This window comes from Homo sapiens, chromosome 10 (genome assembly GCF_000001405.40).
Source record: "Homo sapiens chromosome 10, GRCh38.p14 Primary Assembly".
Classification (NCBI taxonomy): domain Eukaryota; kingdom Metazoa; phylum Chordata; class Mammalia; order Primates; family Hominidae; genus Homo; species Homo sapiens.
In genome coordinates, this window is record NC_000010.11 from 4983284 (window position 1) to 5011053 (window position 27770).

General features: G+C 39.4%; 1 protein-coding gene and 1 long non-coding RNA gene across 8 annotated transcripts in view; one reads left to right on the forward strand and one right to left on the reverse strand.

The window, feature by feature from the left end:
* Nucleotides 4492-27770, reverse strand: part of AKR1C2 (aldo-keto reductase family 1 member C2) — a 30226-nt gene continuing 6947 nt past the window's right edge. Inside the window, exons 2-13 of one of the 7 annotated variants that reach the window (XM_047424683.1) lie at nt 27061-27370; nt 24124-24223; nt 22687-22769; nt 20469-20731; nt 18231-18398; nt 17267-17383; nt 15917-15994; nt 15342-15464; nt 12473-12582; nt 12036-12201; nt 8548-8630; nt 4492-6755 (exon numbers count right to left, since the gene is read on the reverse strand). In XM_047424683.1, the coding sequence (XP_047280639.1) occupies nt 6713-6755; nt 8548-8630; nt 12036-12201; nt 12473-12582; nt 15342-15464; nt 15917-15994; nt 17267-17383; nt 18231-18398; nt 20469-20552 (972 nt within the window). In that variant the 5' untranslated portion in view covers nt 20553-20731; nt 22687-22769; nt 24124-24223; nt 27061-27370 and the 3' untranslated portion in view covers nt 4492-6712. Of the gene's footprint in view, nt 6756-8547; nt 8631-12035; nt 12202-12472; nt 12583-15341; nt 15465-15916; nt 15995-16627; nt 17178-17266; nt 17384-18230; nt 18399-20468; nt 20732-22686; nt 22770-24123; nt 24224-27060; nt 27371-27770 lie in introns of those variants that run through there. The other 6 variants (XM_047424682.1, NM_001354.6, NM_205845.3 and 3 more) reach the window with 6 other exon arrangements.
* On the forward strand, nt 12295-14494 carry LOC101928051 (uncharacterized). Its single transcript, NR_188167.1, has 3 exons — nt 12295-12384; nt 12754-12863; nt 13957-14494. It is a non-coding gene; the product is annotated as an uncharacterized LOC101928051 (long non-coding RNA).

Here is a 27770-nt window from a genome sequence, read left to right on the forward strand (position 1 = left end):
GCCTGTATGTTAAGAGGGTTTGCTTTATATCCCAAAGTATTAGTATAATCATGATCTCCTATGCATAAAAACAGGACAAACAACCCAATAAAAGAGTCAGAGAGTTAACAAGCGCTTCACAAAGATAAAACTCTAAGAGAATAAATATAAGAAGTATATACTATGTGAGTATATATGGAAAAGAAAGAAATTCACAATGATTTGGAGACTAAAGAACACCTAATTAAACTCCTTGTTTATGAAAATGAAGAAAAGGAGATGTCCCTGGCAGAGGGATACAAGGTAAATTGTCAACTCAATGCTGAAACCCAAATCTCTTGTTTGGGTCCCATCCTAATTCTCTCCACCCATGCTGTCTTTCCTGTGGTAAAGTGGAAAACCCTTATGATGAACACAAAGCATTTGTGCATAGAATATGCCAGGGAAAAGGAGATGGCCCAAGGGTGTCCTCAGAACCTTACAAGAAGCACATGTTTGAAGGACACTATGCAGGAGCCCTGAGGCCCACAGCCCCGCTCCTCACCTGCACGTTCTCTCTGATACGCTGCTCATTGTAGCTCTTGGCCAGGACCAAGAAAGGAGAGGAGGCTGATGGCATTCACCTGGAGAGTGCTTCTCCTGTGGGGGTGCAATCATCATGAATTGTTCCAGGAAGGCTCTCTATAGGTGCATCCACTCTGCGCTCCTGTGGGATAAGCCCCAGCTGTGTCTACAGTGGTGCACCAGCGGGGAACAAGGACTGCTTCTCCAGGACCTTTCTCAGTCACAGAAGCTGCCTGCCTGTTGGGGCAGAGGGGCAGGCTTTTCCTACTGCACCCAGCTCTGCAGTTGTTTGTCTGCTGCAAGAAATTTCCCAACAGTGGAAAGACCTGGGATTCAAGGGCTGCCATTCAGGTTTTTCTGTCCCACTGGTGTTCCCTTATGTGGTACTCTTTTCCCTACCCTCAAAATGGGACTTCGAGAGAGCTGGACTACAGTGATTGCTACTGCTCTTCTGGGCCTAGCCGCCCAGTGGGCTCCCAGACTCCAGGCTGGTGCTGGATTTGTTTGCAAAGGATCCAGTGATGTGACCTGTCGTCAAGTCTCCCAGCAGTGGACACCAGCACCAGCTCTGATTGAGGTAGCGGGGAGCAACGTAGACTCGGAGATGCCTTGGATGTAGGTAGGCTCAGTGTGCTGGCTTTCTTGAACACTGGTTATGTGAGCGGTGAACTTGTCATGCGGACCGACTCAAGACCTCTGATTGGCCAGGATGTGATACGCAGTGGTAATAGCTGAGCTCATGCAGGCATTTTCTCCTTCCTGGGAACAGTTCTATGTATTCCTTGAGGTGCTGTGTGGACTGTGCTGGTTGGTCTCCAGCTAGGAGGTGGCACTTGCAAAAGAGCACCAGCTGTGGTGGTAGCAGTGGGATTTGAGCTTGCCCTAAGTTGCCCAGGGAAAGTGGTTTCTCAGGCAATGGGGAAAGGGGGGGTATGAAGCTCCTAAAAGTGTATCTTTGTGTTAAGCTACCAGGATGGGTGGATGGGTACCACCAGTGGGTCTAGGGTTAGGTGGGTCTGCACTCTAACTGTCCTTGGATGAGGCAGGCTGCAGCCCCTGTGAGGGCTAAGGGGTGGTTCTCAGGCTGCTGGGGTAATGTTCCAGAGGAGAGTTTAACTGCCTCTGCTGCACAGAAGAGTTCACAAAGGGAGTGGGAAGTAATGGGTGGCAGCGAGCTTCACCCAGCACGCATGGAGTTGGCAAGGCAGTTTTCATTCCTTTCATTCCTGTAATGCTCTGCTAACAGTGCCAGGTTTACATCCAAGCAATCTGTGCACAGAACTCAGACAAGCTCCAGGTCATCAGCTTTCCCACAGAGAGAATAACCATGGCTTTCAGGCCACGTCCTTCCTGGTCTGCCCACAAGGCTGGACACCCAGCTTCTGCGCTCATGTCTGCAATGCACTTCCAGCTCTCCCCTGTGGGTTCTGCTCAAGGGCACGTGTCCTCACTTGAGATTATATCACAAAATTCAGTTGGGAGCTTCTTTTACCCTGTGATCCCTCTCTGAGCTCATTAGCTGACTTCGCCAAGGGTCCCTGTGACATGTAGTCAGGAATGGCTTCCCTGAGTTCACACTCCTGCTGCTTCTATTTGTATATTTCACTGGCTCACTAAATCCATTCCCACTCTGCATAGGATCAAAGCCTTATCTTGTGGCCTGAATTTCCAGATTCCCAGTGGGGATGTGTGCTCTGGAGTGGACTATCTCCCCTCACAATGTGGGGCTGTGACGTTTTTTGCTTGTTTCATGGAGTAGGCTGGTGCCCGCTTCTTCTTCAAAGTGTATGTGGATTTTTATTCTTTTTTTGGTTTTTGTGTTAAGTTCCTGCATCAGTTCTTGAAAAAAAATTCACAATGTAAATCTCTACATACTAATCTGTCCTTCAAAGTGGGAGAGGCATGCTAACACCGCCTCCCATCTGCTATGTGGTACTTTTGTCCATTTTCTTAGTTCTTGATGAGATCTCATAGTTGGCATCTGTTACCTTTTGCTGCCCCTGTACTTGTTTTGTCAATTGTGTTATCTCTGATTTCTTTGAGTAGTTTTTAAATTTTTCTTGTAGAGATCTTTCCCCTCCCTGGCTATCTATATTCCTAAGTATGATGTTCATTTACTATTCCAACAATCCTAGGGCCCTTAAGATTTAAGCTACATCTACAATGCAAGTGTTCTATAAATAAAGCAAGAAATCCTAGATATTTAAGTCACATCTCCTTAAATAATGGTTTACTGAATATTTTAAGACCACTGTTAAGAAGTCCTGCTCAGCAAAAGAAAAACAATTTTTTGAAAATAGGACTATGCCGGGACCAGCTCGGTCGGGGAGATGCTAACCCAGCGGCGCTAGAGGAATTAAAGACACACACACAGAAATATAGAGGTGTGAAGTGGGAAATTAGGGGTCTCACAGCCTTCAGAGCCGAGAGCCCTGAACAGAGATTTACCGACATATTTATTAACAGCAAGCCAGTCATTAGCATTGTTTCTACAGATATTAAATTAACTAAAAGTATCCTTATGGGAAATGAAGGGATGGGCCGAATTAAAGGAATAGGTTGGGCTAGTTAACTGCAGTAGGAGCATGTCCTTAAGGCACAGATCACTCATGCTATTGTTTGTGGCTTAAGAATGCCTTTAAGCAGTTTTCTGCCCTGAGTGGACCAGGTGTTCCTTGCCCTCATTCCCCTAAACCCACGACCCTCCAGTGTGGGCGTTATGGCCATCATGAACATGTCACAGTGCTGCAGAGATTTTGTTTATGGCAAGTTTTGGGGCCAGTTTATGGCCAGATTTTGGGGGGCTTTTTCCCAACAGGACTGCCTTTTGGCAATGTACCTAATCTGATAGCTTTCTTATAGAGAGGCTGAAACAGATTACTGCTGTTTCCGTGCCTGCTAATACAACGTGCATTCTGTTTCCCATGGGTCATAGAGTAATTTTGATGTTCTTGTTTTATGGTTCAGGAAATACATTTCATAAATATATGGCTACCATAGTGATTGGTCTGAAGAATCTGTGAAAAGAAAATTGAAAATCTTCTGAAAAAGATTTACTATTCTAGATGCCATTAAAACCATTCATGATTCGTGACAGGAGGGCAAAACATTTACTTGAACAGGAGTTTGAAAGAAGTGAATTCAACCCTCCTGGATGACTTGGAGGAATGCAAGATTTCAGTGGAGAAAGTAATTGCAGATGTGGTGGAAATAGCAAGACAACTAGAATTCAAATTGGAGCTTGCAAGTTACTGAATGCTTGCAGTCTCATGATGTAATTTTAACAAAGGAGAAGTGTTTCTTATGGATGAGCAAGAAAAGTGGTTTGGTGAAATGGATTTCATTTCTTAGGAAACCGTTGTAAACACTGTTGGAAAGGCAGCGAAGGATTCAGAATATTACAGAAGCATAGTTGATAAGGCCATGACAGTGTTTGAGAGAATTCTCTCTAATGCTATCATGTCCCCACCATGACACAGTTGCCTAACAAAGCCATTCTCAGAAGATAGCCCAGGCATTATGCAACACATGACTGTCATTGGTGACAGGGAAGGAGTCACTTGTGCCATTTTCAATGTTTTCCTACCAGGTTTATAGCTTTCTATCCTTTATATCCACTGTTACCATTTTGTGAGGTGGCGTGATTTTTTTTTAATGACATTTGGATTCCCTTCTCATTTCCTCTTGCGTATATTCATAATTATTCTCTTTGTGATTGCTGTGGTGATGATGAAAAACTTTATAAAGTTATGACAATTTACTTTAAATCAATATGAATTTAACTTCAGTTTCATCTAAAACCATCCACTTCCCCAGGTTTTCTCCACTTCACATAGTTTTGGTCAGTAATTACAGCTTCCTACATTGCATACGTATTAGCTTAGAATTATACTTATTTCTATACATTTATATCTTAAATTGAAGTAAAATAATGAGTAGAATCCAAAATTTCAAAAATACATGTTTTTATATTTTACCATATGTTCACATTTACAAGAAGTCTTTATAACTCTATATGGCTGTAAGTTACTATTTCCTTTCATTCAACCTGAATTCCTCCCTTCAGCATTTCTTTGAGAGAAAAAATAGGAAAATTAGTGATTGGAGGTCCCTATAAAATTTTCTTACATCTCAAGTGTTCCTGAAATCAGGTGTTTGGCTTTATGAAATTCTGAGTAACTTTTTTTTTTTAACAATAAGAGTTTTATAAAAATGGATGGTGAAGAACTGGAAAAAGCCCACAGCAGCCGTACTATTTACAAATGACTGACCTAATGATTATTTCACATCTTGAAAAAAGAGTTACACGTGCTATAGAGATTTGAAATATGAAAGTCTGCTTAAGCGTTACACACTTGGCTACGAAGTTTTAACAAAATGTCAATCTTTTCTTGACACTTACATCAGTCAAGTTTATGAGATGTGAAATTATCATTCCATAGACTCAGAAAGTTAAGGTAGAACAGGATGGCCATGGTTTACATGAGATTTCTTTGAGACATGCTAAGTGTGAATGTCCATTAAACTTTAACATGGAGATGCAGAGTTCACATTATGATCTTCCATTGAAGATTTGGAGGAAAACGCTGAGCTAGAAATATTTTTTGGTGGATTTCTCAGCCTAGAGGTGATATTTAATGCAGAGAATATCTAAGATCATCAACGGAATGAGAGTAGACCAGAAATAATCCAAAAAATTGGTCTAGGGCCCTCCAAAGTTTATGGCCTCTTCCAATTTTATAGAATAAGTAATTTACAGAAAAATTGTGAGCTGCAAAACTTGCTGGGATGCCTATCAGCTCTGAGACATGGCTTGAGAAGGAATCTCTGATGGGGTTAACATGGCTACCAGAGTACGAATAGTGGAGAGTAAATGTGTTAGAAAGTGTGCCCAGGTAAAAAACCACTGTCCTTCTCATAATGCTTTGATCATTAAGACATGAGATTATCCCAAGTTTTCAAAAGTGTTTTCTAAAACGAAAATCATGTCTTCATGATTAGCTGATTTGATTAGTTCCCCTGAAAATTATGTATAAGAATTAAATGCCTTTGTAAGAGTTCTTCTTAAAATTTACCAAAGTTTGAAACCAGTGTGCTGTTTTACATAGCCTGTTTCCAAAAGACATTTGAAGTCTTGGAACATTTGATTTATTAGATGTATTATTTCCCATTTTAATCTTGAGTGCCATGCATAATGGCTTTGGGATATTTATGTTTTATACTTGTAACTATGCCTTGTTTAAAGTATAAAACATTTAAAAGATTGCATATAACAAATGAACAGTACATTTTTACAATCTAAGAATATTTTCTAAATATGAGCTATTCAGGGGAATGTGATGAGTCAATGATATCTTCGATGTCCTGCCCCACCACAAACCAATAGGGTCAACGTTGTGAATGGGCACACATCAAAGATTCAGGCCTGACTCTCAGCTGTGGGGTTTGTTAAAACAATGTGGAAAGTTTTCTTTTATGAACAAGATATAATGATCAAAAAAAAGGGTGTTGATATGTTTTTCCAAGCAGAGATGTACTCGACTCTGTCCTATTTAGCCTTCCCATACCTGACTTCTAATCACTTTTCCTGGTGCCCTCCCATCTCCCTAACCCCCCCTCACAGGGATGCCTCCTCCCAAGGCTCCAGAAACTCTGACCCTCGCACTGCTGGAGGGAGCCCATGAATTGCTAGTCAATATCGCTCATCCTCTAGACTCCATCCTGCGTGTGCTTCTTCCTACAAGAGCTAGAGAGGCACTGACTGATAAATACCTGTCACCTGCCCCTTTCCCAGAGGGTGAAACTCCACCCACTCCCACTGCAGAAATGAATCTTAAATGGTTGTTAACATCTTCCAACCCCGGCCCTAAACGTATAGGCAAATCACAATTTGGGGGCACTAGTGTGTCAGAAGGAGAGAAAACATAGAAGTTATGGAGACCAAAGTAGGTGAAGAATCTTTAGGAGAGAGCATTTAATTTTTTCAAAATGAAAAACAAAATTATTGTCTTTCTTTTCCGGCCGATGGGCTTAGCTGTAGCTTACTGAAGTCGCCAAGCAGGAGAGATTTAACCAGAGGCGATGTGTCCAGTCACCAGCATAGAGCCATCCTCTGTGTCACCATCCACACGCAGGGCCTTCTGGCAGACCTCATGCAATGCCCTCCATGTTAATATTCATCAGAAAATGGATAATTAGGGGGGCCAGCAAAACTGGAAAGAGAAAAAAAAATGCACACTCTGAATGGCAATGACTCCGTTACTAGCCCGTAGCGCAGTGATTTCTAGGAAGCTGCCGCTAGTGTAGATGTTAAGAAGTTCATTTTCTGACTGCTCTAGAATCTGTGTTTCTTTGTTTAATGAACGTGACTTTATCATATCTGTATTTTCAAAATAAAGAATAATTTAATTCTATTCCCCTGCCTGGAACTTAACACATAAAACACACAAAGTGAAATGTTCAAACATGTTTCTCTACATCTCTCAACAACAGATCCCACATCTGTCAACAAAGAGATATTCTGACCTTTTCTATTTCAAATTCTCACTAAAAACAGGAACTCCTTCTGCCTTACATTGAAGAGGAATAAGGAAGATATATGCTCATCACTAATAAACAATTTTGAGTGTGATAATTATACTGGTAGTAATTGTACTTTATTTTATTACTTTACATATTACTTACTACCTGCCTATCATACGCAACACACTTGGTTAGATTAGAAACGTAAATTATTGTTTATGTTATAGGGCCCAATATTCAAAGAGCTACAATGCATAAACCATTTTATAGGTAGACATAATCCAAAATGTAAAGACACAGATAAATGACTGCTCACATATACAGTTATAACTTGTTAATTACGGAATTGAGCCTATCCTTTGTGATTACACCGAGAGCAAACACTTGGAAGCTCGCAAGTGGTTTACTCCAGACCATATTTGAGTTCTACAAAATAACACTAGTGATTGATTTCATGATCATAAAAAACATTAATCAGTTGTAAACATTTCTAATGCTTGCCACTTTTCCTTTTCTTATTATCATTTCCATTTTCATTTTGTATTTTCTGCTAAGTGGATAAAATACTACTAATAATATCCACCAAATTTTGGGTACTTATGATGTACCATTGTGCTTGTTTTTTTCACACATTATCTCATCATCTCTATTACTTGTTAAAATCTCCACTGCCATCAGTTACATAACTTCTTTTTCCCTCATTATTTGAATGACCTTCTATGAATCCTAGAACCTTAGAATATAGAGGAATAGTAAACGTCTGTTACTGGTTATAAATTATCTCCAATAATGGTGCTTTTGCATCTACACTCTGCATTTGATTTTAACACTTCCTCATTCTCTACACTGAGATCTCCATATTGCAGAACACCAAGGCCAAGTGCTCCTATTCGCTCCACTAAGACAGACTTTCTGGAGGCAAATGCAGTATTTGGCTCATGGGCAAACATGCAAAGAAAGGCACGAAAAAGGTTTGAAATGATTAAAAATGCTAAATTGACAGGATCCAGCAAGCAATTCCATGTGAAAGAGGTGGGAATTGGAACCTGGCCCACAAGATTGACGGAACTGCCTTTGATCTGGTAAGACATTGAGCAGGTTGGGAAGAACAAGATAGAAGCACAGATTTGGAAACATCTAATGCGACCACATGGGCCATATCCACAGTGTGTACACTAGACAGTAATACAAACGGCAGGCCTACATGGAAGGTGCAGATTCAGCAATGATCTTGGCTGCTCTGGAAAGTTCCTTGGAGTCACGAGAGCAGAGGCACAGGTTGACCCATGCTGACCCCAGGCCACTCTCCCTGCCAGAGAACAGAGCTCTGGAGTGAATCCAGGAGGAGACTTCCAGAAAGCTCCTGTCTCACCTCTGTCTCACGTTGGCCTCTGTGCCCCTGGTGTGGAGGTCACTCTCAACACCCATCCTACGTTCCTCCTCTGAAAATAAATTAGGACAACCATCTCCAAAATTACTTACATATCAAGGGTCAAATATCGCACATTTCTGTTTAGGCCATCTATGGCTTTCATCTCCTCTGAAGTCAACTGGAATTCAAACACCTATCAAAGTAATAGAAAACTTTAATTATTTTTAGATTACATCATTGCCAATTGGGAACAACCAAGTTCATCAGACAGTAGGGTGCAGAGACAATACTTAAAAGATTGATACGTTTCCAAAATTTATGAAAGACCTCTCTAAACACCCAAGTGGTCAATGAAAACCAGTCAAAAATAAGCAGAAATCCATTCCCAGATAAAATATTTTGAAACTGCACAACACTGCAGATGAAGAGAATATCTCAGAGGAAGCTGAAGAAGAAACAGAGCTTACTTTGTGCCCACATGATAGGGCCATGTACCTAGAAGACCCACAAGAATCTAGAGGCAAATTTTGTAATGTCTAGCATAATTTAGTAGGTTTGATGAATAACATTGAATATCTATCTCTCCAATGAACAGGTATAATAGGAAAAATCAGTTTTCAACATCACTCAAGCCAATAATTGTCTAAATACTAACGATTTCACATTCAAAAGGTGTGGGTACTCACTATGTAAATTTGGGAGACTCTAAATATCAAAAAGATGTCACTCTTTCTAATACATTCAATCAAATAAGTGTATAAATCCATAGGGAAACTGAAGGAGTAATACAGAAAATGAGAGAAAGAGAGTAAAAAATGACAGCAATGTAACACTTGATGAATGTAGGTAAGAAGATTTGTTGCATTATTCTTTTAATATTTCTATATATTAGAAAATCCACAAAATGAAAATGAAAAGTTATCAAAAACTATTAAAATTATCAGTAATTGCCGGGCACGTTGGCTCACGCCTATAATCCTAGCACTTTGGGAGGCCAGCGCAGGAGGATTGCCTGATTTCAGGAGTTAGAGAACAGCCTGGGCAACACAGTGAAACCCGTCTCTACTAAAATACAAAAAATTAGCTGGGCATGGCAGCATGCGCCAGCAGTCCCAGCTACTCTGGAGGCTGAGGCAGGAGAACTGCTTGAACCCGGGAGGTGGAGGTTGCAGTGAGCCGAGTTCGTGCCACTGCACTCCACCCTGGGTGACAGAACGAGACTCTGTCTCAAAAAAAAAATGATCAGTAATGGAGAAATTTATGCAATTAATGATATATTTATTAAGAGATGATTTATTAATAAGTAGTGGGATATTCATATTATGATCATGGACTGGAAATCTCAATATTGTCAAAGATTCAGTTCTCTCTGCATTGATCTGCAGGCTTATTACAATGTCAATGAGAGACTAAAACATTTACTTGCCTGTGGAAGTTAATAAGATGATTCAAAATTTTAAATAACACATTAGTCAAGAATAGCTAAGATATTATTAAATAAATGAAGAAGTTAGAAAAATATTTGTACCATACTGGAAGTGAAACTTACTTTTTAACATTATAGCACAGAAAAGTGAATAAGTTAACTGAAGATGGAAGAGAGGCCAGATAATTGCTCATGGACATTTCATATATGTGTCAGGTAAAAAAATTCAAGTTATGTGAGCAAATATAAACTTTTCAATAAATGGTAAATTTTGCTAAAAATTCAAAAATTAGATACGCATATTTGGATCCTTATTTCACATAATATTTTAAAAGTCATACCCATTAGAATTAACCAAATTTATAAGGAAAGAATATTAACAATTTTGTAAGATAACACAGTAAAATATTGTGATATTCCCAATATAGGATAAGACACAACACACACCAACCACAAGAAAGAGGCATGAAAAATTAGTCTACATGAAGGATAGAAACTTTTGTTTGTGAAAACATAACCACAGAGAATATGACAACGCAGATAAAATTTGGGAGATGTTATTTCAAGAATACATTCAAGTCTCTAAAGAATTCATATCCAGAATAAATACATATATATGTATGGTTTCTAGTTAATCTAACATATATATTATATAACACATATGTCATATATCATATATATCTATATATACTAGATGAATTAGAGAACATACACATATGTATAAATACTGATAATTTCCACAGTCTTTCATAACTTTTCATTTTTGTTTTGTGAATTCTCTAATGTCCAAAAATATTTTTAAAATAATTTAATGAATGCCATTACCTAGATTCATCAATTGTTTCATTATTGTCATTTTTTATTCTCTCGTTCTCTGTATCACTATTTCAGAGTATCCTATGGATTTCTTCACTTATTTTACTTAATGTTTTAGTAAATAGTGACGTATATACATATACATGATATATGTCATATATATGACATAGGTTTTATAATATATATCATACGTGATGTATATTTTATGTATCTAACTAATTAGAAAACATACACATATGTATGTATTCTGGATGTTAATTCTTTAGAGACTTGTATGAATTCTTGAGAATATATGAAATAATATATCTATATATATTCATATTCATACATATAACTATTGATATATTATTTCACACATATCATATAAATGATAGATTAATTAGGAACATGCCCTCTAACAATCACATGTCCCTGTGTCCACTTGCTTGGCTATATGAATTTCCAGTTCCTTCCAGTAAGAGGTGGTGTGTGTTTCCCCACCCCTTGAGTCTGACCTGTCCTGTAACTTGCATTAGGTGATAGAATTTCCCAGAAGCAATGGTTGGTGTCTCTGAGCCTAGACCTAAAAAGGCTTTGCACATGTCCATTCACTATGCTGGGGTCATGCCCTGTGCTGAGGTGAACCCTGGGCTGGATGGCTGGAGGATAAAGAACTGCATGGGAGAGGGGGGCACTCACACAGATGCCCCAGGGACATCCTGAAGCAGAGCTGCCTCACTGCCCTGAACACACATGAGAGCCCAGCCAGGAACAGAAGGAATGGACTGAGTTTAGGCTGAGCCCAGGCTAATTTTCTAACCATGGAACCTTGAGCTCAATAAATGCTTTTGCATTAAGCCTCTATATTAAGTGGGTTTGTCTTATATCCTAAGGTATTGGTATAAATATGGTCTCCTACACATAAAAATAAAGACACACAACCACCTCGCCAAAAAAAAAGGCAGAGTTAAACAAGCACTTCGCAAAGATAAAATTCTAAGAGAATAAATATAAGGAATTTATACTACATAAACATACAAGAAGAAAAATCCGCCATGAGTTGGAGACTAAAGAACATCTAATCAATGCTTCATTATAAAAAATAAAGAAAAGGACATGGCCCCAGTAGAGGGATATGGATATCACTGACTTAACGCTAACCCAAATCTGTAGTTTTGATCCCATCCTATTACTCTCCACCTCTGTTGCCTCTCCTGTGCTAGAGTAGAAGAAACCCTTATGACGTACACAAAGAGTTCATGCATAGGAAATACAGGGAAATGGAGCTGGCCCAAGGCTGTCCTGAGAGCCTTACAAGAAGCACACGTGTGAAGGACACTGTGCAGGAGACCTGAGGCCCACAGCCCCGCTCCTCACCTGCACGTTCTGTCTGATGCGCTGCTCATTGTAGCTCTTGGCCAGGACCACAACCCCACGCTGCAGCTGGTAGCGCAGGGCAATCAGGGCTGGGGTTCGCTTGTGCTTTTTTGCCAAGGCACAAAGGACTGGGTCCTCCAAGAGCACCGGGGAGTTCGGGTCCACCCTGGAAGGAAAGGCAGAAAGGCTGAGGCCCTGAGGCTGGCGATAGTTTGTTAGGCGGCTCCCTAAACAGACTAAGGCGTCCACTCTGCACCGGAGCTTCTCAAGCGAGGCCCCCGAACAGCAGCCTCAACATCACCTGGGATCTCGTCAGAAATGCAAATTCTTCCCTCACCCCAAGTCAGCTGTGAGTGAACTCCAGGAAACAGCATGATCTGATTAAATTTTTTTTATCAAACCAGTGTTTTAGGTAAACTTCCTGTATCTCTTATTACCATGGTTCTTCTCGATGGGATCCCAGAGCACTATAGGCAACCAGAACAATGTCTTTTGACTTGCAGAAATCCAGCAGTTTTCTCTGGTTGAAGTAAGGATGACATTCCACCTGCAGACGAGCAAGATGGAAAAGCATCAGATAATCCAAAAGTTACATTAATATTAAAATCACCAAAGTAAAAGAAGCTGAATAATGTAGAGCATTAAATTTGAACTGAGAATATTATTGTCAAAAATGATCTTTTTCATAAAAATAAATTTTATGCCCCTCTCTCCTAAGAAAATAGAAATGCTATTTCTGAGCACAAGCAACTCCATGAACCCTATCCTGGTTTCTCAATAACTCCGACCACTAGAAGGAGACACGGCCAATTTCAGAGCTGGGATGAGGTAAGATTCTTTGAGCCTTGGGCATCAAATCGTGCCAGAAATCAAGAATTTGGTCAAAGACTCATGAGGGCAGGTCTGAAAAACAAAAGAACTAGTTTCCTAATTAATACCAAAAATGCATACATATATATGTATGTTTTCTAATTGATCTGACATATATATATCATATATGCCATCTATGATATATATCTATATAGATGAACTAGAAAATATACATATACACATAAATACTGATAATTTTCACAGTCTTTCATTACTTTTCCTTTTTGTATGATGGATTTGTATGTTGATATCTCAAATGTCACCAGTGGGTTCCCTATGAAACAAGTGCTTTTGTCTTTTACACTTGCCCTCATGAGTCTTTGATCACATTCTTCTTTCATATATATTATATATATATAATATATATATATATGCTGAGTAGATGTGAGCATTAAAAAATGAGTAAAATAAATTAAAAATCATAACACAAGAATCCGTGAGTCTGTAGCAATTAGTGCGACAATGAGAAAAAGAACAACAATCTTTGTCTACTCTGATGGTGGTCATTACAGTAATTACGTTCACAGTACATTGCTAATTGAAGGAAGAAGTTTACCTTTACTCTCACTTAGAGGAATAGTAGTTTATTATTTTTACTTGGTGAGAAATTATTTTTAATTAAATGTCAGGTAAGAATAGTTAAACAAGTGGTTAAAATTGTAAATGATTATGTAAAAACCCCAAGGAAATAACAAATAAGAAATAACAAAGAAGAAAACAGAAATGCAGTAGAAAAAAGTTCAAATCACTGATGTATACTCAATCATATGTGAAAATTTGTCATGGGAATATGACTTCTTCTGTTGAGAATTATCCCCCAGCAGATTACTAGTAATTGTTAAAGAGAAAACATGAGTTAAAAACAACAGATCTGACCACTGTTAGCTTAACCAAGTTTTTAAAACTACCTTCACCACTAGTGGGGCATTCTGTGATTGTATGCAGTCTAGTGTCGTGCAATTTGAAAAACACAGCATGATAAAAACATTTTCTTGCCCCAAAGTTTTAAGCCAATGTAATAAAATACTCACATCTAACTTTTAATTTACAGGAACCTTCAACTGGGAAAAACAAGTTAACTGATATCAAATACAACAATATAAAAACAATTGAATTCTGGTTAAAAAAAGAAGAGCTACAAAAGATATTTTGATTAAGCAATGAAAAATTAAAATATGGACCGGATACCAAATGACATAAGGGCACTATAAATGATGTTCTTAGATACAGTAATGACACTGGAACTGGGAGAATATCTTCATTCCTGTGACATGCTTTGAGAGGTCTCTAGGGGTCAATTGTCATCTTTACAATTTACCTTGAAGAGGTTCTAGAAACATTATATGTATTTATGCAGATATACTCCATATAACATTGCAAAATGTTAGTAATTTTGAATATAAATGGTAACATGGGTCTCCAGTATTATTTTTATCAAATTTTTGGAAAGTGTGAAAATGGCCATATTAAAAAATTGGGGAACTACTAGTATTAAAACCACATTAATTTCTCAATGCTTTTATTAAATTATCACAGCACCATATCATTATACCAAATTATAACAAAATTATAACAAAAAATGTAAGTTACTGGGAAAGGTGTAGTGATTTTAATGCTGAAATGTGTGTAACATTTGGGGGCAGTCAATTTGATCAAGGAGGCCTGGAATCACCAGTCAGGACTCAAGGAAAAGATGGAATTATCTCTAGGCTATGAAAGAACCATGCATAGAATAGATGTGTTTAAGCAGCTGATTGCATGACAGACTCCAAAAAGCAGCCGACTAGGAGCGGGGCAGTCATAGGTCAGCTCCATGTTCTGCTGAACCTTCCTCAGTGTGGATTTCATCCACTGTGAACAGATATCTCCATAAACAGGTCATTTTCTCTTTCTACCATGGATGACCTTCACTGTCTGCAGATAATTTTTAGTGTATCTATGCCCTTGGTCAAGAAGTGTGAAAGCAGAGATATCAAGAGACACTGAGACATCCGAAGCCCATGTGAATCCCTAGTATTTCTCTTCTCTTGCTCTCACTCTCTCCTTATGTACTGTTCATTCCATCTCTTCATGGCTTCATATCTATGCACAGTTCCCTCCAAATCACCTTCACCCGTCCACTCTCTGGTCATCTTTCGTAGCTTAGGGGTAAGTCCACCTTTCCCTGAGTCTAATTGGCAATCCTTGGACTTCTTGATCGAATTGACCTCCTATAAATGTAACACACAATTCAGCATCAAAGTTACAACACCTTTTCGTAAGACTTTTCTAAGCAGGGTACAAGTAAGAGGACTCCATGCCCTTCTAGGAAGAGGCTTTGTTCTCTAGAATCTTCTCTTTTACAAAGATAAGTGGGACTAAATGAATGGATACTTGGCAATAGGACAGAAAGAGGGGCATGAAGAACAGAAAGGAGAGGAGGCTGAGGGCGCTCACCTGGTTGCAGACAGGCTTGTACTTGAGCCCTGGCTTGTTGAGGATCATCTCCAGCAGCCTGTGGTTGAAGTTGGACACCCCGATGGACTTGGCCAATCCTGCATCTTTACACTTCTCCATGGCCTGGGAAAAAGGAATTGTGAGGTATCATTTGTGTAGTCGACTGAAGAGCAAGATAAATGTAACATAGAACTGTGAAAGCAACAACTGTCTAGACGTGACAATCAAACTAGCTAGCCGTGGTTCTTAAAAGGGAGAAAATAAAACAGAAAAATTGGGGAAGAAGATAGTGATTGCAAGAGTGAGAATTTCTGTTTCCTCCTTAGGAAAGTGGAGAGATTAATGTACAGGCAAGGAAAGAAATCCCAGTCCTCCTTACCCCCAATTCTTCTCCTCCACTTCTCTCTTTTGTATGCCTGTCATTTCTTTTTCCTCGCTGCTCACAAAAACTACCTTTGTAAAGTTCCTAAGTTTTTGATCCAATGGTGCATTTTCCATACTTGTACTAAGAAGATAGGAAACAGATGTATCCTACCTCATCTTTCTTATCCGTTCTCTCACCTCCAAACACTCACCTCCCATGTGGCACAGAGATCCACTGTGTCAAATAGTATTTTTCCATTTTCATCTTTTGGGATCACTTCCTCACCTGGCTGAAGTAGAAGCAGTCAGTTTAGTGATGTCACAAGTCAATTTCTCCACACATAGCCATGCTCTGAGGTACATTTAAGGACACTAATCCTCCATGAGGTAGGTGATGCAGCGCTCCAGAGAGTGGTATGTACAAAGTGTACTACATATGAAGGTATAAGGAATGTCTTCAGGTGACAGGCTTCCTCTAATCTCTTACACCTATTATATGTATAAATAAATACCATCTTTCTGGTTCCTAATGGAGTGTCATCATTGACTTTCATTGACTTTCTTCTGCTCCTATAATTTTCTCTGTGGCAATACCTCTCTTCAACTGCAAAAGATCTTGATATCCAGATATAATGGATTGTACTTTTTACCCAGGTGCCACTATCAGAGTTCTTTATCTCCCTGAACATATGATGTTCCATGCACAGGACCATGAACCAATCATGGTCAATGGAGGCGTTTTCCAGGCTAGTTTGGAAATTAGGAGATGCACAGGAGCTCACGGTAATGAACATGGGCCTGACAGTGCTCCAAAGCCATAAATGCCACCAACGAAAAAGGTTGGAACAAATATTTAAAAAGCCTTTTGTAATAAAGCAGAGATAAGGGTGGAGAAAGGATATATTTTTAGAGTTTTTATCAAATTCTTAATGTAGCCCTGGCTTTGATTTCCCATTATCATATCTAATATACCCTTTTGCATTAACTAGCCTGACTAGTTTTCAGTACCTTAAGACAAAAGTTATGAATGACACAAGAATTCATGGCTAAGCAAAAATAAAACCTCCAGTGTGAAAAGAGAGGAAGCAGAAGCAACAAGGTTTCCCATGAAGGTTTGTAGTTTAAGACATTCCCGGACTGAGTTCTTGCCCCTTGAAAAGAGGCAAGAAGATGGAAACTCATTGTGCACCCTATGTGCAGCAGGTTTTCTGGACACCACAGCTTCATGAAACTCTGTGTCTGTGAACATCCCAAGAGGTGAAATCAGGAATCATAAATAAGACCTTGTGCCTTCAAGGAGATGATTGTCATTTCCTCAAGTTTTTGAGGCAGAGGCTTTGAGGATTCTGCACTCTCTTTTCTTGTAGACATGCAATCACGGAAGTATGGATTCAAAATTGCTTTCTGTTCCATAGAAAGGAATTAGGAGTTATGTTTAGGGCTCTTCTTCCATGTTAAAATCCCTATGTCCTCCTAAGAAAAAGCTTAGTTCAAATCTCCATGAAAACAATATTTATGCTGAGAACAAAAGTGAAATTAATTTGATCACACAAGCTGCCTACCTTTACAGACACTGGAAAATGAATAAGATAGAGGTCAACATAGTCCAATTGAAGATTTTTCAGTGACCTTTCCAAGGCTGGTCGGACCAACTCTGGTCGATGGGAATTGCTCCAAAGCTGCAGAGGTTAGAGAAACGAAGTTGTGTAATGAAAACTTGAGCCAGTTTTACTAGTTTGCTCCACCTAATATTTAGACATTTTCTACTACTTCAAAACTAATGACCACAGGCAAAATTATTCTCTCTCTTCTTGTGATGCCTTTTGTTCTGCCATATCATGATGAACTTTATAATATGTTGGATATATAGTTAGTACATATATTGAATGAAAGAGTGAAATTACTCAAAAGGTAAAAGTTGTTATCAAATCATAAGCATACCCATTATCTGAATTATCTTTGGTAAGTTTTACAACTCATATTAGTGGTGTAATTATTTCATCTATTCAGCCCAATGGGCAAGACTAAGTATCTTTGTGGTTTGGAAACTGAGGAGGCAAACACAGTTTTTAATATGTTAACTTGGGCTGGATGCAATTTAAAACAATGTAGGTATCACTCTTTTATACTCACTGAGCTCTCTTATATCGCTTTCTCTCTCTCTCTGATCAAAATGACAATGGAAACTCAGAATCATAACAAATGTAAGAAACTCACCCAGGAGGTAACAGATAACATAATATGATTAAGATTATCTCTCATTCTATAGTCTATGTTAAACCATATTGATCTGTGCTGAGCTCGAAGAGTAAAGGCACTTTGAAGGCATGAATTGGAACACTGCAAAGATGAGAAAGCCATCTTCACTTCCTGCCTTTGATATTAGTTTTAATACATGAGTAAGTGTGAATAAATCGAAATAAATAAGCACAATTCACCCTCAACTATGGATCCAGTCATAGAACTGCCACCTCCACACAATCACAATAAATACATGTGCACACAAGCTCATCATAGGCACAGTACCTTTGAAGTGTAGAATATGTCTTCTCTCTTCACACTGCCATCTGCAATCTTGCTTCGGATGGCCAGTCCAACCTGCTCCTCATTATTGTAAACATGTGCAGAATCAATATGGTGGAACCCGGCTTCTATTGCCAATTTGACGGCCTCTAGAGCTTTACTTTTAGGAACCTGGGGGAGCAACCAAACGTAATATTTTCTGACTAATGTGCCTGAGAGTTAGTTCGGGCACAAGCAGCAACGTTCACAAAAATCAGCTTTTCCTCCTTTCTTGGATGAGCTCTGTATGTAGAATCATAAGCCCATCCCAGTCTGACTGGGTCTTTCCCATTTAGTAATAAAGGTTGGGCATAGCAGGAACTTCTGCAGTCCCAGAAAAATCACTGCTTGACCACTAGCTTGGAAGTGTCCCCAAAACAATTTCACTTTCAGTGATTTTTTGGAAAAATCAACAGGACGCAACTATAGTTACAGACATAATCTTAATTATTTTTAGTATGGTGAAATTAACACAAGGAAATAGCCACATGGAAGGAATTATGAAGGAATGCAGTGTAAGCTCCTGTGATTCCTCTCCCACCATGTTGCACAGAGCGCACTGACTTTATCCAGCATCATATTTTGTCAATGTATGTGAACTGTTGTCTACAAGAGATGCCCTCTACATACTCCATTGCTAAGATTTTGTCTGGGACTGGATACATTGACTCACTCTGCCTAGCAGACACAAATCTTCCAGTCTCCAAAAGCAAAGCAGGTGCACAGAAACCCCACAGTTTACACAAACAGTTACGTAGAGCCACCATTCTTATCAGTTAGGAAACAGGGAGAACTCCACTTTCTCAGATGCCAGCAGGTTTATATTGGAAATAGGCACATCTATGGATAGCAGTCTATTATGTTAGATCTTTTCTACCCAGGTTTTGGCCATTCTGTCTGCATAACAGAACCAAATACTAGGAGTAAAGATGTATACTCTAAGGATATTGATTTGTGTATGTAAGAAATAGGCTGCAGGGAGTAAGTGATTAGCAAAATGGGGTTCAGCTCCATAAATTCAAGGCAACTCTGTCAGGAAACATATGATTGCAGTAAAATTTACAATTATTGACTTATGTAACAAATTTGGATACAGATTTGACAGTATATCTTTTAAATGACAAAAACAGAAACAAAGCAAACTATCTTCCCACCTTGAAAGTATTTCAGAGGCTTTTTCCTGTGAAATTACAAGGAACTAGATACCGGGTCTCACAGCCCTCTCCTCATACCATCTTTGATCTTCTCTTCGCTGTGCAAGCAATCAAAGGCTTACCAAGGCCGGAGCTTCAGTGGTATCCTCATCTTTACTTCCTCTCCATGCCAATTTATATTACAAAATAAACCACTCCTGTCAATGGTCTTCAAAATGTCCCTTTGTAACTCCTTATGTCTTATAGATGAGAAATGTGAGACTCAAATTTTATATAACTAGTTCCTATTCACACACATTGTATTCCCAAGACAGTCTTGAGATACAAGTTTTCTTCCAGTGTAGAAATAGCATTTAGCTATTTCTAAATCTAGAAAATAAAATATATTCCATTAATTTTCTTGTCAGAGAAACAAGAAATTTTTCTGTTACAATATTTTGATACAAATCTGACCCATATTAACAAAGACAAAGAATTTAAACTTTCCTTGTTTGGTTCTAGTTTTTTTTTTTTTTTCTTAAAATGAGGATATTTTATTATTTCAGGTAATTTTCCCAGAGGTGAGAATAGTACATGGGAAATTCTCTTTAGGCCAGGTCTAGTATTACAGTGTGGTGCTCAAGGCCGCCCATCAGAACAGTGATACTCTCCCAACAGATTTCATCCACCCCGTCTCCACTAACTTTTGCCATAAAAATTCCTCTGAATTGTATCTTCTTGGAAGAAGTAAATATCTGTTCGACTATACAAAGAAACAGAGAAACCACTCCCATTGCAATCAATCTTCAAGAGAGGGAGCAGGCAAGCCGTGTTCTTTCTGCTGAGTTTTATAGACTCTGACAAGCTGTGAAATAAACATAAACAGAAGACAAAACAGTGCCACAAATAAGCAGTAGATGACCCTGTGACAAGACGGCATTGCAGAACAAAGACTGACGTTTAAAGGGGAGTCATGCAGAGTAACATAGGAACACAAGCCTGACAACCTGGTCAGCTTCCACTTACTCTAGCTCCTTTGAACTCTCAACACTAAAAATATTATTGTTACCTCTGCAGGCGCATAGGTGCCAAATCCCAGGACAGGCATGAAGTGACCATCATTCAGCTTCACACACTGGTATTTCGAATCCATTTCTGTCACTGGCCTGGTTAGCAAATGTTTCTTCCTCCCTCACAGGCTATAAGAGCAATGAGCTGGCAACGCCCCTGAGCACACTGTCTGCTGGTTAACCAATGGCATGTGAGAGGAGGGACAGAGGCAGTCTTACACAAGCTGTGATAAAAATTGCATCCAGTTCAACCGTTTCTTACCTAAGAAAATTCATAAGTAAATTATTATGTGGTCATGATACACTCATTAATTTCCTCTGAAGTATTTTTGCTATTCCAGATCTCTATATATGAGACATAAATTACTCAAAGAGATTTGTAGAACAAATTGTGACTTTACATAAGAATATAGAAACCTCTAGCGGCACAGCTCTTTTTTGTGTGTGCCATGATGATGAGTTCCTTCTGCATCTTGCAGCATTTGAAATGACTAATTTTCATTTTTCTCTCTCTCACACACACAATTTAAAGGAATGACTAATGAGCATTTCTTTAAAATATTGCCCTCAATTAAAAATTAAAGTTAAAATTTTTAAATGCATGACTTTTTTTCATCAGCAAATTTATTGTTCCTTTCTTATTAGCCTTGTAAGAGAAACATCCCTTCCTGATCAAGGTGCAGTCCTGATAAAGTTGTAATCCTGATGTGGGTGTAAATAAAAAAGAAAATATGATGTGGTTTTATTGGAAGATTTCTTATTAACAGCTTTTGGTCTTTGGATATAATTTGTAACATGCAAACAGTGCCTTATTGGTCTTTTCCAGTCAGTTTTATAAGTTACTACCAAAAAGTAACAAGCCAAAAACCTGATAACTATTAGATATACTTTATAATATTGCTAAACATTATTCATAAAGAAAAACTGGTAACTAATGACATATAAACTGGTGAATAATCCTCACATGGGATAATTTTTACTTTATTCTCCCTTTGGAGGTCAGGTTAAAACAAGATTGTAATTTGCATGATCCATGATTCACATCTTGGAGTAGTCACAACTTGCAGTGCCCTGATTGCTTCTATTTGCTTTCTCATAAAACAAACAGAAATTGAAAAATAGGTAAATTGTTATCATTGACATAAATGTAATATTATAAAGATATTGAAATTTTTCACAGAGTAATTTCAACAAGATGGTGGATTCTAAGATTCCCATATAACTCATGGAAACATCAGAAAATACCTAAAATTGACTGAAATAAACTTATTTATTTCTGGAGTGGCTCAGTAGAGATTCAGGGTGACTATACACATACAGATGTTATAGGCAAAAGGCCAGGGGAAGAGACATGCAATAGTCCATCTAAGCTATTGAGGAGAAACTGGGATGCAAAATTTCATAATAGTAAGCAATTCAAAAGCCATTGGTTATTTGGGGAAATATAAAAGGGCAAACACAGTCCACATAGGTACATGTTCAGAAACAAACTAAGAAGGACTTGAGTTTTACGTAGGGCTGATGCCTTGACTGAGAACCTGCCGCACATATAAGTTAATGACTGTCATGACATAGAACAAATCTATATACAGTAAAAAAGATGTTTATTTTTTCAAATGCCCAGTTAAATAAAATAACAAGGCATACAGGCCAGGCACGGTGGTTCACACCTGTAATCCCAGCACTTTGGGAGGCCAAGGTGAGCAGATCACGAGGTTAGGAGATGGAAACCATCCTGGCCAACATGGTGAAACCCCGTCTCTACTAAAATCCAAAAAAAAATAGATGGACGTGGTGGTGAGCACCTGTAGTCCCAGCTACTCGGTAGGCTAAAGCAGAGGAATCGCTTGAACCCAGGAGGCAGAGGTTGCAGTGAGCCGAGATGGCACCACTGCACTCCATTCTGGTGACAGAGCAAGACTCCAGCTCAAAAAAATAAAATGACAAGGCATACAAAGAAACAAGAAATCACAGTCCATTATGAGGAAGAAATAAATCAGTAGAAATCATTCCTGAAGAATCACAGGCATTAGAATTAGTAGAGAAGCATTTAAACAGCTGTCTTAAATATGCTAAAATTGCTAATGAAAAATATGGATTAAGAACTACAGAAAATCTGAAAAAATAAGAAAATCACAATATAGTATTAATACAGAAATTATAAAAAGAAAAGGAAACAAATTGGAGCTAAAAAATATACCTGAATGAAAAACTCACCAGAGAGTGTTTCAATAGCAAATTTGAGCAGGATGAAGATATAATCAATACACATAGGGATAGCACACTTGAAATTCCTGAGTCTAAGGACATGAAGCAAGAATAAAGAAATGTGAACAGGTCCTAAGGGACTTATGGGACACCTTCAAGCCAACCAGTATGATAGTATTGGATTCCCAGAAGGGGAAGTGCAAACCCATGGTAGTAGAGAAATTATTTGGAGAATAAAATCATCAAAATTTTTCAAATTGGTTAAAGACAAAAATCTACAAATTCAAGTAACTTAAAGAACTGCATATAGCATAAAGTCAAAGAGACTCAGACCTATATGTGTTATCATCCAACTCTAAAAGCCAGACAAAGAGATAATCTTTAAATAACAAGAGATTTTGGGAGCCGAGGCAGGCGGATCACCTGAGGTCAGGAGTTCGAGACCAGCCTGGCTAACATGGTGAAACCCTATTTCTACTAAAAATAGAAAAAATTAGCTGGTCATGGGGGCGCACATCTGTAATTCCAGCTACTCCGGAGGCTAAGCCAGGAAAATAGCTTGAACCTGGGAGGCAGAGGTTGCAGTGAGTTGGGATTGCACCATCGCACTCCAGCTTGGGCTTAAACTCCATCTGAAAAAAACAACAACAAAAATAAAAAGTACGAAGATAAACATGACTCATGGGGTACAAGGGATCCTGGACAAGGTGATCCACAGATTTCTTATGAGAGTCTTTGGAGGATATAGTAGGTGATATATTTAATGTGATCAATAAAAAAAAATTTCACCGAATCCATATTTGGCAAAAAAATTATTTCAGCCTCTTTTTTTTTTTTTCGGAGTTTTGCACTGTCACCAGGCTGGAGTGCAGTGGTACATCTCAGCTCACTGCAATCTCTTTCTCCCGGTTCAAGCAATTCTCCTGCCTCAGCCTCCTGAGTAGCTGGGACTACAGGCGTGCACAACCATGCCCAGCTAATTTTTGTATTTTTAGTAGAGACAGGGTTTCACTATGGTAGCCAGGATGGTCTCTATTTCTTGACCTTGTGATCCGCCCACCTTGGCCTCCCAGTGTGCTCGGATTACAGGCATTAGCCACTGCACCCAGCCAAATTATTTCTTAAAAATTAGAAAGTTAGTAAGACTATGTGATGTAGAAGCTGCAGGAGTTCATTGCCATTAGAACTGCTCTACAAGAAATGCTTAAGAGAGTCATTCACTTTGAAATGAAAGAAGTTTAGACAGCAACGTGAAGTCATATAGAGGTATAAAGACCTCTCGTAAAGGTAGGTGTATGAAAAACGTGGAAACATGTATTTGTGAAATTTGCTTTTACTTTCATTTTCTTCAAGATTTACATTACAATAAGAATAACTTTCTGTTAACATGTACACCATATATAAAGTTGTAATTAGTGACATCAATAATGTGAAGCAGAAACGTACCTGTGGAAAAGAAGTTTCTGTATGGAACTGAAGTTAAATTCACATTGATTTCAGAGTGGATGGTATAACTATAGGATGCAGTATGTCATTCCAATGGTAACTACAGAGAAAATAATTACAGATTATGCACAAGAGAAATTGAAACGGGAATCCAGATTTTAGCAAAGAATCATAGAAACCCCAAAATATTGTTAGTTGAGGATATAAAGGAGAAAAAGCTGCAGACATAAATTTCAGGTCTTTCTTACATACAAAATCCAATCAGTTTACCTCAAGAGTCTCTAAAGCCTTATCAGGTTTAGAATCAACTTAAATGTCTAAAATGCAAAGATTTATCTGAGATCCAAGAAAAATTTCTACCGGCTATGAGCCTGTAAAATCAAAAACAAGTTATTTCCTTCCAAATTACAATGGTTTTATAGGCAGTGGTTGAACAATCTCATTTCAAAAGGGAAATGTCAGCTTAAAGAGAAGAGGAAGAGGCTTCATGCAAGTCATAAAGCCGACAGGGCAGAAATTAAATCTTAAAGCTGCAAAATCAACTTCCTTGACTCTATATTCTTCATTCTGGGCACACTGGTGACAGGGGTAGGCTTCTGGGGGCTTTGGGAAGCACTGTACCTGTGGCTTTGCAGGGTGCAGCCCACATGGCTGCTCTCACAGTTTGGAGTTTAATGCCCATGGCTTTTCCAGGCTGAAGTTGCAAGCGGCTGATAGATTTATAATTCTGGAATTTTGAGGGGTAAGGCCTTTCTCCCACAGCTTTGCTACACAGTGCACCCATGGAGACCCCCTGCAGAGCTCCAACCACATATTAGTGCTCAACATTGCCTAAATAAAAGCTTTATGTTGGGGCTCCAGACCCTGAGCAGGTTTCTTTCTGGGCATCCAGGATTCCTGACACATTGTCTGAAATCTAGGTGGCAAGTGCCAAGCCTCAACCACTCTTGTGCCCCAGAGGACTCAGGCCCAAAGCTCCCCTCCTCTGCTTGTCACTCTCTACTCATCATTTCCTCCAGTGACCAAGTGTGTGTCATGCACCTTGCCAAGGCTCAAGGGGTACCTTGTACATGGGGGCTTCTGCCTGACTAGTGTGGGTCGTGGAGTCGCTAAGAACTAAAACTTTCCACAGCTTGTTTACAATCTGGTGGAAAGAAACTGATCTCAGGAGACCACAGGAATTCTCAGTCCTATAGGTGAGGGAGAGGGAGAGGAATATGAGGAAAGGGAGATGGGAAGAGGGAGGAAAGCAGATGGAAGATGGAAGATCAGGGAGGACAGAAGTGGGATGTCCTTGAGTCATACATAAAGAACACTCATGTGCCTCAAGTAAATAAATGATCCTAATTTCTTCTCACTATTTTTTCTGAACAAGTGTTACAGTTTGCAAAGAACTCCGAATATTTTCTCAACAAATACATATTGATATGATACTTTAAACAAAATGATGTTTGCCAGCACTGTTTGTCCTGAGATTTCCTGTTTGGTTGACTCAATTCTCTGGGGTGAAGAGGTTCTATGTGAACAAAAAGGGGTACACTTGAGCCTCACAGAGGTTTGTGGGTGAAGTCATGTCTGTGAGAGGCTGTGGAAGCTCACAGTTAGCCTGCATTGCTGTGGAAAATGGTGGGATGCCAAAAGCCGTGCAGGAGGAAAAAGGAAGAGCTGGGAGGCTGTGGAGGAGGCTGAGGTACTGCTGATGCCATGGAGAAAATTTTGGGGAAAAGACAGAGATGCCTAAAGCAATATGTAGGAAGTTTTAATTATGACATTAGTTGAAATTTCACAACCCATGAAATTTAAAGTAAATTCCACCTTGCTCAGTTTTTTCAGAGTGAACTCTGTTTGAAGAAACAACTGTGTCACCAATGTTGACTCTGGATGAGTGACAATTGCACCGAGCACTTTTTGAGACGTCTGCCTTGTCTGCACTGTTTGTTATTTTACTATTGCTCAATACTATTGTTCACCCCTCAAGCTCCTGGGGTTGATGCAGTCAGGGTGACTCAGCAGCTTGCACACCTTGCGACCACTCCTAGATAGGTCAACAAGCAGGGGAGGTTGTAAAGAGAAAAGTATTAATATTATAGTTGTTTTGGTTAGCATAAAACCAGGTGAGAAAAAACTATTTCTGAATGGTTTAAACTCCATGTGATATGGACAGGAGACAGGGAAATACTGGGTAGAAGAGGGTGGTTTCCCAGCAAAGGCCCCCACCTTTAAGCCTGGATACTCGTGCCCCTAAATGAGAACAGGCATTTCTGTTTTCACGCCCCCAAAATTTGCCTTTTGGCCCACCACACCTCCATTCTGCCCTTATATAAACCCCCAAAGCCTAAGTTCCTGGGCAGACCAGCAGGTGAGGAGACAAGGAGGCAACCAGATGGACGGCAGAACAATGACACACAGAAAGAGAGAAGAGGAGGGACATTGGACACTGAAAGGAATTTGGCCTAGGAGGATTGGAGAAGAGTCCGGCCACTGGGCAGCCTGACTCCAAGGAAAGATCACCTTCCTACTCATTCCCCCATTCCGGCTCCCCATCCATCTTGCTGAGAGCTGCCTCCACCACTCAATAAAATCTTGCCCTCATCCTTTGAGCCCACATGTGATCTGACTCTTCTGGGATGCCTGGCAAGAGCTTGGGATATAGAAAGCTGTCACACTGGCCCTCTGCCTTTGAGATAAGTCAGAGGGTCCATGGAGCTGCAGACTCAAGCCGTCTGCAGATGGCAAAGCTGAAAGAGCTTTACAACACTGTGGTTGCAGGCACCCACCACTAGACACTACCATGGAGCCAGAGCCCAAAGCGCTCGCCCTGGCCTGTGCACCTGCCCATCTCCATGCTCCCCCTCCCTCAAGCAGTTTGAACCGGTGAGCCACACCCCTGTCGCAAGTCCTGCAAGGGGAATCAGGAAACTGTCTCATTTCACATACAAATCTGTTAGCACCATGTGAAGAAGTCTGAGGAATGGTAAGCTCTCGGGGTCGCCCAGGAGAGTCTGTAACTTCTCTCATCTTTTCCTGACTCTTCTTCCTCTGTGTATTGATGTCATCCTCAGGCTGGGTGGAGGCTGCTGCAGCAATTTGAGAACTCCCAGGGCAACAGGACAAGAGCCACTTGAAGAAGAGGGGCTGCCACATCTTAAGCGCTTCTTTCTAGATGTGAGAGAAACCTTCTCAGAAGCCCTCGGCACACTCCCTCTCATGCGGCGTTGGCTAGGGCTGGGTTGCAGCACTCTTCCCACTGTAGTTCATGCCAAGGGCAAGGGAATAAACATGAGTGACCTTAGCAAAGCTTTTATAGCAAAATTCATGTTGATGATAAGGCAATCCTAACCCCTAAAACCGTAATGAAAAATTGATATTTTCAAAAAGTTAGACGTGCAACCTTGCTTATACCTCAAAATAGCTTTGCAAGCTTTTAAAACAACTGGAAATAAATCAAAGTCTTAATTAAATATAAGACCTGAGACTATCAAGTGCTAGAAGAAAATCTAAGGTAAACTTATTGGGGCAAAAAATTCCTAAGTAGGTCTCAGCAAGGAACTCAGACTAAGATTTCAAAAACACAAATGAGAGAATAGGAAGAGATGCATATGACTTAATTAGACCAATAAGCTTCTGTAAAGCAAAAAAAAAAAAAA